General features: G+C 43.9%; 2 annotated features.

The window, feature by feature from the left end:
- Positions 8,790-9,454: an enhancer, noted in NCBI's record as "H3K27ac hESC enhancer chr6:134382163-134382827 (GRCh37/hg19 assembly coordinates)". NCBI's record gives its function as "activates a minimal SCP1, AML or CMV promoter by ChIP-STARR-seq in primed H9 embryonic stem cells {active_cell/tissue: H9 hESC(primed)}" and the evidence as "EXISTENCE:reporter gene assay evidence [ECO:0000049][PMID:30033119]".
- Positions 9,455-10,119: an enhancer, noted in NCBI's record as "NANOG-H3K27ac hESC enhancer chr6:134381498-134382162 (GRCh37/hg19 assembly coordinates)". NCBI's record gives its function as "activates a minimal SCP1, AML or CMV promoter by ChIP-STARR-seq in primed H9 embryonic stem cells {active_cell/tissue: H9 hESC(primed)}" and the evidence as "EXISTENCE:reporter gene assay evidence [ECO:0000049][PMID:30033119]".

Raw genomic sequence — 10,336 nt, 5'->3', positions numbered from 1 at the left:
CACTAAGCCCTGGTTTCCCCGTGAGCCCGGGAGGGCAGCACACTCAATGTCTACATAAACTATCCATGTGGAATTTATACGATATTCATGAAGTTGATGAGGGAAAAATGTTCTTCGATGAGTCTTTATATTCAAATGTTTCAATCTCCAGATATATTTGAACCACATATGTCTGGTGCTGTCACCCACTCATGAAAGACCTGAAATCAGAAATTAAGCAAAAAATATTGCTTTGGCTACTGAAAAGTGCAAGTATGGGTCTGTGTGTTTTACTCACCAGGGGAAGGGCTGACACCCCTTCCTCAGGCACAGAGCCTACCTAATTATACAGGTGATTTTGATTTATCTGTCTTTCTTTAAAGGCCTTATGTTCCTACCTAGGTTTCAAGTGGGGACTGGGGAGTAGACAACATGGAGTGCAGGAAAAAGAGGGGTGAAAAGCTGCAGTCTGTGGGGCCCTTCTGTGAGTCAGCGGGCTGACCAGCAGGAATGACTTACAGAGGGGGAGAGAGGGCCTGCCCGGAGGTCCTTCAAGGCAGGGCAGCTGCTCAACTCTCTGAGCTTTTGTCCTGAGGACCTGCACCGATCCTTGCCTTACCTCCATTTGCTTTGGCAAATCTACATCCAATGTAGACACAGAGAACAACTTACAGCAGCTCTCAGTTCAGAGACCCAGGGCTGGCCTCATGTTACCTTCCCTGCAGCCACTAGCCTGCCTCCACGTCCAGGAGCCAGCTCCTCTCACCGCTGGGCTCCCAGCAGCGGTTCCCTGGGCGAAACCTTGACCCTGATTCTTGAACCCTTCTTCTCTAAAGTCCCAAAGAATGAAACATTTCTCTCCCTTCCCACCCAGTTTCTTCCCCCAACCTTGAAATTTTCATTTGTGCTTTTCAGATCTGCCCCTTCTCAGGAAGATCATGGCAATTGCCACTTGCTGCATGGAGCTGCATCCCCAGTCCAGAGGGGATGGCCTTCTTATTTGGTGCCAGCAAGACGACGGTGTCTACTATGTGCAGCAGAGTAGACAGAGTATACTGAGTAGTCTCCTGTGATAGACACCATTGTCTTACTGGCACTATAGTACATTATTGTAGTTCCCCAGGCCAGAGTGATTTAGTCTGGTATCACACCACCTGCAAGACATCGATGGACTAGTTCAGATTGAGCCTGGTCAAATCTAGTCCAGTTTTTTTGTTTTTTTAAATACACTTTATTTTTTTGGAGTAGTTTTAGGTTCACAACAAAATCTAGCTAAAAGTACAAAGATTTTCCATATACCACCCACCCCAACTACACATGCACAATCTCTTTTATTAATCTCCCCCACCGGAGAAGTCCTTTTTTTTTCGAGATGGAGTTTCGCTCTTGTCGCCCAGGCTTGAGTGCAATAGTGCAATCTCGGCTTACCGCAAACTCCGCCTCCCGGGTTCAAGCGATTCTCCTGCCTCAGCCTCCCCGGTAGCTGGGATTACAGGCATGCGCCACCATGCCCGGCTAATTTTGTATTTTTTGGTAGAAATGGGGTTTCTCCATGTTGGTCAGGCTGGTCTCGAACTCCCGACCTCAGGTGATCTGCCCGCCTCAGCCTCCCAAAGTGCTGGGATTATAGGCGTGAGCCACCACTCCCAGTCGTCCATTTGTTAACATTAGTGAGCCCACATTGATGCATCATTATCATCCAGAGTCCAGAGCTCACATTAGGGTTCACCCTTGGTGTTGTATATTTTGTGGATTTTGACAAATGTTTAAACACATGTATCCACCATTATAGTATCATCCAGAGTAGTTTCACTGCCCTAAAAATCCCCTGTGATCTGCCTTTCCATCCCACCCTCCTCCCTTGTCCCAGCAACCACTCATCCTTTTAACCTCTCCATAGTTTTACTTGATCCAGAATGTCATCTTTGGAACCATACAGTATGTAGCCTTTCCGGATTTGCTTCTTTCACTTAGCAATATGCACGTAGGGTCCCTCCATGTTTTTCATAGATTGATAGATCTAGTTGCTTTTTCACCATTTTTCAGTATAAGTTGGGGATTGGGCCTGTTTGCTCCTCCTGCAAACTTCAGATCTCAAATTCTAATTCATAGAGAGTCTCCCTCCCTCCCTCCCTCCATCCCTTCCTTCCTTCCTTCCAGCTATAATCTATTTATTTTAGAGTAAGAATTCAAAAATGAGAATACTGTCACAGAAGATGCACATGTATGTTTTTATCTGAACTTAAAAATTTGCTGGTGGAAAATAAGTATTATTTGACATTTGGTTTGACACTGAGGCCGATTAGCATATGTAGCAGATGTTATCTACAGATTGGATCTGTAGTTCCTTGCTTTGACGCATATAATAAAGGAATATGCATTATACAGTACCTTGGAAAATATAGACTCTGCAACTATTTTAACTTATGGTAAAATATTTAGATGCCATCTTTAAAATGTGTGAAGAGGTGTGGAGTTTTTAAAGAGTTTTTTGGGGCCGGGCGCGGTGGCTCATGCCTGTAATACCAACACTTTGGGAGGCTGAGTGGGGCGGATCATGAGGTCAGGAGATCAAGACCATCCTGGCTAACACGGTGAAACCCCATCTCTACTAAAAATACAAAAAAATTAGCCGGGCATGGTGTTGGGCGCCTGTAGTCCCAGCTACTCGGGAGGTTGAGGCAGGAGAATGGCGTGAACCCAGGAGGCGGAGCTTGCAGTGAGCCGAGATCGCGCCACTGCACTCCAGCCTGGGCGACAGAGCAAGACTCCGTCTCAAAAAAAAAAAAAGAGTTTTTTGGCCAGGTGTGGTGGCTCACGCTTGTAATCTCAGCATTTTGGGAGGCCGAGGTGGGTGGATCACTTGAGGCCAGGAGTTTGAGACCAGCCTGGCCAACATTGTGAAACCCTGTGTCTACTAAAAATACAAAAATTAGCCGGGGGTGGTGGTGTGTGCCTGTAATCCCAGCTACTCAGGAGGCTGAGGTAGGAGAATTGCTTGAACCAAGGAGGCGGAGGTTGCTGTGAGCCAAGACTACACCACTGTTCTCCAGCCTGGGCAACAGAGTGAGACTCCATCTCTAAAAGAAAAAAAAAGAGAGAAAAAAGAGAGTTTTTCAAGTTCTTTCATGGTGTAAATGAGCACAATGTTGAGGACTGTATTAGTCAGTGTTCTTTAGAGGGACAGAACTAATGGAATAGATATATATAAAGGGGAGTTTATTAAGTATTAACTCACATGATCACAAGGTCCCACAATAGGCTGCCTGCAGGCTGAGGAGCAAGGAGAGCCAATCCAAGTTCCAAAACTAAAGACTGGAGTCCAACGTTTGAGGGCAGGAAGCATCCAGCATGGGAGAAAGATGTAGGCTGGGAGGCTAGGCCAGTCTCTCTTTTCACATTTTTCTGCTTGCTTATATTCTTGCTGCATTGGCAGCTGATTGGATTGTGCTCACCCAGATTAAGGGTGGGTCTGCCTTTCCCAGCCCACTGACTCAAATGTTTCTCTCCTTTGGCGACACCCTCACAGACACACCCAGGATCAATACTTTGTATCCTTCAATCCAATCAAGTTGACATGCAATATTAACCATCACAAGGACCATCAGCCAGAAGCAACTGAGAGAAGGAGCAAAGGTGACTGTATTTGACACATCAGTTACTCTTCAGGACATCATTGTATGACAACACAATATACTCACTACTCAGAGTAATCCAGAAGATATTCATTCTGGTTCCTACCATATGTTAACTAAGGCATATTAATTAGAATAGTTAAAATAAAATTTCAGAGTGGTCATCAAAAAATTAACTCATTATCTAGTTCCCTGATGGTGGCAAATGTGAATATACTATACATTTTTAACTGCCTACTATGGTGTATAAATGTTTTGCCATGTACAGAAAAAAATGGAAAGTATCATTGAGGATAAGGAATGATAAGATTATATTTTATATTTAGTGGTGTTTGATACTCATCTTTGTCCTATTTTTTTTTTTTTTTTGAGATGGAGTCTCGCTCTGTCTCACCCAGTCTGGAGTGCAGTGGCATGATCTCGGCTCACTTCAGCCTCCGCCTCCCGGGTACAAGCGATTCTTCTGTCTCAGCCCTCCGAGTAGGTGGATCTACAGGTGTGTGTCACCACTCCTGGTTAATTTTGTATTTTTAGTAGAGACAGAGTTTCACCATGTTGGCCAGGCTGGTATTGAACTCCTGACCTCAGGTGATCCGCCCACTTAGGCTTTTGAAAGTGCTGGGATTACAGGCGTGAGCCACCGTGCCCGGCCTTTGTCCTATTCTTCACCAACCCCTCGAACTTGGACAAGCAGATTCCCTTGTCGGTCCTTTCTCAGGGTGGGGCAATGTGAGAATTGCATCTGTAGGGCCCAGGCCACAGCAGCACCTGTTCAGGTTCTGCAGCACCAGTGATACAGACTTAACTAATGTTTTTTGATAATTTTAAAAATTAAAGATAACATGAAAGTAGTAATTCTACTACCTAATAATTAGCGGTTTGCTTTGTAAACTAAAGCCACTGAGTAAGTCACCATGTGGCCAACCACTTAACCATGGAGGGGGCTCAATTTCTCTACCTGTCAAAAGGGGGCGCTGAACTAGAGTCTCTGAGGTCACTTTCAATCCTTACATGTTGTGATTCCTAGTGATGTCATTATAAAGCTGAAGAGAAGAAATGATCAGGAATCATTTTATTTATTCAATTATGACTGCACATCAGAAAAAAAATATTTCAAAGCCCTAGGGTGGTTAGGCTGTGGGTAGAAGACTTTAGAAAAATGCAAATCTCCTCTTCCCAGAAATAGTCTTCTGGAATCCAATCAAGAAAGGTATCTGAATGTTGCGCTTCCGAAAAGTGCTCACTCTTTGATTAACATGTTTACTAACTCCTTTTCCTTAGGTTTCTTAGACTTACCAATCTTTGAACCCGAATTTTCTCTTCTTTCACTCTCAAATGTTTAATTAAGGGGTAGAAGGATCATTCTGAGAAGAGGAAAGTGCAGTTTGCATGAGATCAAATTATTATCCATTAAGTAGATCTAGAGTTGATTGGGTTGTGGAAGGGCTTAAAATGAATTGTGATGAAGGTGAAGTTTGGGGAGAGGCTAGACTCTGACTGCTGGTGAGTTTGTTGGTGGAGCACTCGGAACAGGGTCTGGGGGAGGCCACTGCCACTGCCGAGCTGTCCAGCATGGTGGATGGGTCCCAGTTCTTTTACCTTTTTCAGAAGGCAGATATAAGGTGTTGCTTACGCCTGTCTAGCAGACATTCAGAAAGCAATAAAAAGAACCGTTTTCATCCAGCCAGTGAGTCCTAGATAGGAGCTCCAACAGTGAGGAATTTAAAAGGCTCACCTGCACATCAGAGCTTCCAGAACCCCAGAATCAGTAAGTTGTTTTGAGAACAGATTGTGAGAATACATTCATTTCCAAGTGCCCAGGATAACAGAAAATTTTTTTTTCTTCTACCACTTTACTTCTCATCAGTAAATACCATAGATTAATGATGACTGAAGCGGCAAAGTACCTCAGCCTGTCTAGGCCACTCTATGTTGCTCTGAAGTGGGGCAAGACTCTGGAATTAGGAAAAAGTGCTTAATTGCCACTTACAAGTACCTGTAAAGTTAGAGCAGCCAGGAAAGGGATGGAAGTACTAAAAACTGCCTCATGACATTTTCCTTTTTTTCTGTAGAAATTTTTAAGTGTTCCATTTCTTGTGAACCATCACAGGATAATGACAGCTCTAGATATTAAAAATTCCATTAAAATTTCTTCCCCGAGTGAATACCCTTCCATGTCCAGGGTAACCCCTAGTGGTGTATTCTGTGACACAGACTCTGCCTCCAATGTCAGCACAAAACAGAATAAAATAAGAATTCTGGACATAGTGAAAATATGAACCTGAAGAGGTCATTTATAACAAAAAACAAAAAAATCCAAGTGTCCTTGCTAAACAGAATTTGGGATCTGGGAAGCTGTGAAAAGTTGGTTGTTGGATGTGATGTGATAAGAAAGCAGTCTTAGATCAAAGACTTCAGTCTTTAAGATTCACATTTAGAAAGGAAGAATCTTAGAGTCAAAGAAAGGTCAGGCACGAGTGTAATGAATATAGTCAGGCTGGAAGAGTGTCTGGTCCTTCGATAAGAATGCCTCACTTATCTTCCTCTTTGTATCACCCTGCATTGCACCAGGCACATGGTAAGCATCCAATATTTGGACGGAGGGATAAGTTTCTAAATGAACGCCTGTGCTCCCTTCGCTCTAGGGCCCAAACACACCTGGGCAGGCGTAGATAGAGTGCAAACAAGCAGCTAATAAGTCACAAAAACTGCACAAAGCAGTTGACAGGAGCAGCTCTGAGGATTCAAGTGACTCTCTCTTTCCCTAATAGACTCTGTTACCAACTTGCAGGCTCCCTCTTCTGTCCATTGCACTGGAAGCCTGCTCTTCCCTCCATCTATCAAAAGGGGGCAGCAGACAAGAGAAAATTCAGGTTCGTGGCCTACTGTGAGCTGAGCAACCCCACTCCCACGAAGGACTTAACGCAGATTTCCCAAACTGTGTTCGTTTAAACGTTAGCAGGTTTTTTTTGGGGGGGGGGCAGGGGGGACAGGGAAATTAAGAATCCAAAATTTAAAAGTGCGAGGAAATCTACGCTAAAACTGTTTACACATGTATACAGCAAAATTTCTTAGACATGAAACTTTTTTTATGTCCTGAGAACAGCATATAATGTGAAGAATTTCTCAAAACTTTTTGAATGATGAAACAGCCTCCTCATTTTTTAATTCCACAGAATATCTATTAACATCTCAGTGGTCATACAAGCTCTGCAGAAGATGAGTTTGGAAGCTCTGTCCTAGCAAGTCCCGTCCTATTTTCATGCTGAAGCTGATTCTCTCAGCTTTCCAGTATCGGCTCTCTTTCCCAACAGGGAGAGAAGGATCGCAACTTTGACAAATGCCATTTCATGGAGTAGCCTCTCTGAAGATGGAGCTTGAAGAATGGAAATATACCTCAATCCTTTACACTTGCACTTTCTTCTCCTGGCAGCTATCTCACCACTCCTGGGAGGTAAGGGCAGCCCCCAGATTTTCACCTGGGAGTTAAAAGATCTCACCAGGGGGCTCCAGTTGTGTATGGGCCTCTATGAAATGCTGAGTCAGGCCATGCTATTGTAACTAGAGATGCCTGGACCTTTCTGGTTTTTCACCACTGTTTCAGTTGCCAGTCTCCTGTCATATGCTGCTTCTATCCTTATTTAGAAAGGGAGAGCATGGTTTGAATGGATAAACAAATGGACTAAGCATTAACTTGATTCTCTTCTACAGTTGCTGTTGCTGTTGCCTTGGTGAACGGTTCATATTTATATAGCACCTTAATAGTTTTTAAGATGTTTTCAAATACTTCAACTGATTTTCTCTTAACTAAAATCCTTTGAGAGAGTTTATGTTAGGGAATCTTTGCACTCTGGGTAACACTAGCTAAAAATGAATTTGTTGCTTGGCCTTTGGTTCATAGAACTGAAATAAGAAGAACTGTCTCGGGGAAAAAACAGAATAGCTCAGGAGAAACATGACATAGAAACTGATAAATAGATGGTCTTTTTTGAGTTCTGCCATTGGGAATGGCTGTTCTATTCGGGTGTAGTCTAATGCTACCTCTCAAGACTAACATTTTAGGGATAGAGTATCTAATTGTCATTGCAGGTAGAGAGTGGTAAACATTAATTGACAAGTACATCAAATCCGCATGCAATATGCAATCCCCCCTGCCCTGACCCTGATAAAAAAATTACAGGAATATTGCCAAGAGGAGAAAGCTTTGCTTCTGGGCAAGCAGTTGACAGCTTTGTATGAGGCAAGTATATGTCTCCCTGTGTTAGAGATGATGAAACTGGACCTAAAGGGATTATAAGACTTGCCCAAAGTCATGGATAATAAAGTTCCAACATTAGAATTTATATTCTCTTACTCCTGAACCAATATTTTTTCTCTTTCTCTTTTTTTTTTTTTTTTTTTTGACACAGGGTCTCACTCTGTTGCCCAGGCTGGAGTGCAGTGGTGCAATCTCGGCTCACTGCAACCTCTGTCTCCCAGGCTCAAGTGATCCTCCCACCTCAGCCTCCTGAGTAGCTGGAAATACAGGCATGCACCACCACAACTGGCTAATTTTTGTATTTTTTGTAGAGATGGGGTTTCACTATGTTGTCCAGGCTGATCTTGAACTCCTGGGCTCAAGTGATCCACTTACCTCAACCTCCTAAAATGCTGGGATTACAGGTGTGAGCCACTGTGCCCTGTCCCAGCATTTTTTCTATTATTACTATATACTTCTATGGAGTCCCTTGGATGCAGCAACAGCTATCATTTATTGCAGATGACTATGGTCAGATACTGTTCTAATTACTTTCTATATATTAATTCATTTAATCATCACAAGAAGCTTATGAGATGGCTGCTATTGTTGTCCTTATCTATTAGAAAAAAGGAAACTGAGGCATTAAAGAGGTTCTAGAGCTTGTAAGTGGTACAGCCAGAATTAGAACCAAGACTAGGCCTAGAACCTACTTTCAAAAGGATGCTGCAATGAAACAACATAAGGTTGATCAGAAGTTTGATTGTGTATACCCTTTTCTTCTTCCTCCTTTTCTCCTGGATTTCTTTAAATACATATTTAGTGAGCAACTCAAGGTTTCAGACACCATGCCAAACTCTGAAGGAGTATGAACAAGGTGATCACGACCTTGTGCTCATGGTGTTGACACACTAATAGGGAAAACAGATTAGTGAATTATCACAGCACTCTCTGTTTAATGCTCCGTCTGTGAGAGCAATATGTGCCCTGGGAGCAGAGAGGAGAGCACTTGGCCCAGCCCCGGGGGAGGGAAGGTCAGAGAAGACAGAAGTGCCTTGCAAATGGGGATGGATAGGGAGTGAGCGGGGATAGAAAAGAGGATATCAGTCAGTCCCTCAGCATAGAAGGGCAAGTGTAAAACACAGCCAGGGCCGGATGTGGTGGCTTATGCCTGTAGTCTTAGCATTCTGGGAGGCCGAGATGGGTGAATCACCTGAGGTCAGGAGTTCGAGACCAGCCTGGCCAACATGGTGAAACCCCGTCTCTATTAAAAATACAAAAAATTAGCCAGGTGTGGATGCGGTGGTGGGCACCTGTAATCCCAGCTACTTGGGAGGCTGAGGCAGAAGAATTGCTTGAATCCCAGACGCAGGGGTTGCAGTGAGCTGAGATTCCGCCATTGCACTCCAGCCTGGGCAACAAGAGTGAAACTTCGTCAAAAAACAAACAAACAAAAAACACCACAGCTAGGCCTCACAGAAAACCCAAAGCCAAGACCCTTGTCGTGGGGCCATAGAGTCCTGCTTCTGCTTCATTCTGTGAGTTTCCATTGTCCAGCACTCACGCTTCTTTTATTATGCATGTCCCTTTTGCTCCTGCTATTACAACTTCAGCTTTGGCCTGCTAGGGCCCAGACCTGAAGCCCCAGCTCATATGATCTATTGACACAAACATTCACTATGATGCCGGATACAGCAGCGTGGCCCTCTCAACTTCCATCCTGCCTTCCCTCCCACTGGAGAGATTGATTAGAAAGCTACATTTCCCAGGTTTCCTTGCAGTAGGGGTGTAGATATCAGTTAGATGCACCTGCACGAAGATGAATATGAAGGGAGTGTGTTTGTTTTCTTTTTGTTTTCCTCTTTGGGGAGTTTCTGCTATCCTAGGGAATCAGGCAGATACGAGATTTTCCTGAGGTGACATTCCAGTATCTATAGCTTCCTAGAGAATGCAGGTATGGGAGCAGAAATGGTCTGCTCTCTGGGTTTAAACAATGCATTCCTGAACTCATGGCTCCATTGGGCAGCTCAGATGTAGGAGCCCAGCTGATGAGTCAGCTCTGTATTATTCTGGGAGTCATTCCTGAATGCTTGGAATCTTTCAGGCTTTCCAGTGAAAATATAAGCACCCAATTCTCTGTGCTAAATTTCTTCCTACTTGAAGTTCCTGCACTGAACTACAATTGATATAACAACCCCTAACCTAATCAGAGAGAAAAAGGATCTGAAAGAGAGGACCCTAGCCTGTCCTATCGGCTCCCTGAGCATGAGACATCTACTCCTGGTTAATTTAATTTTGCTGGAGGCTGGTGGGGGACAGGAGCGGGTGGGGAGATGGGAACCACAATAAAGTGTGAGACAAGACTGTCTAAAAGAATATCAGGTCAAGGAGGCGATGATTGGCATCTCCACCATATAGTTCATGATGGGACCAGATTGCAGAGGTCGAGTCAGGAAGTGGCAAGAGATGGACCTGGAGGGATCAG

This window comes from Homo sapiens, chromosome 6 (assembly GCF_000001405.40).
Source record: "Homo sapiens chromosome 6, GRCh38.p14 Primary Assembly".
Lineage (NCBI taxonomy): Eukaryota > Metazoa > Chordata > Mammalia > Primates > Hominidae > Homo > Homo sapiens.
This window is presented reverse-complemented; position numbering and strand designations above follow the sequence as displayed.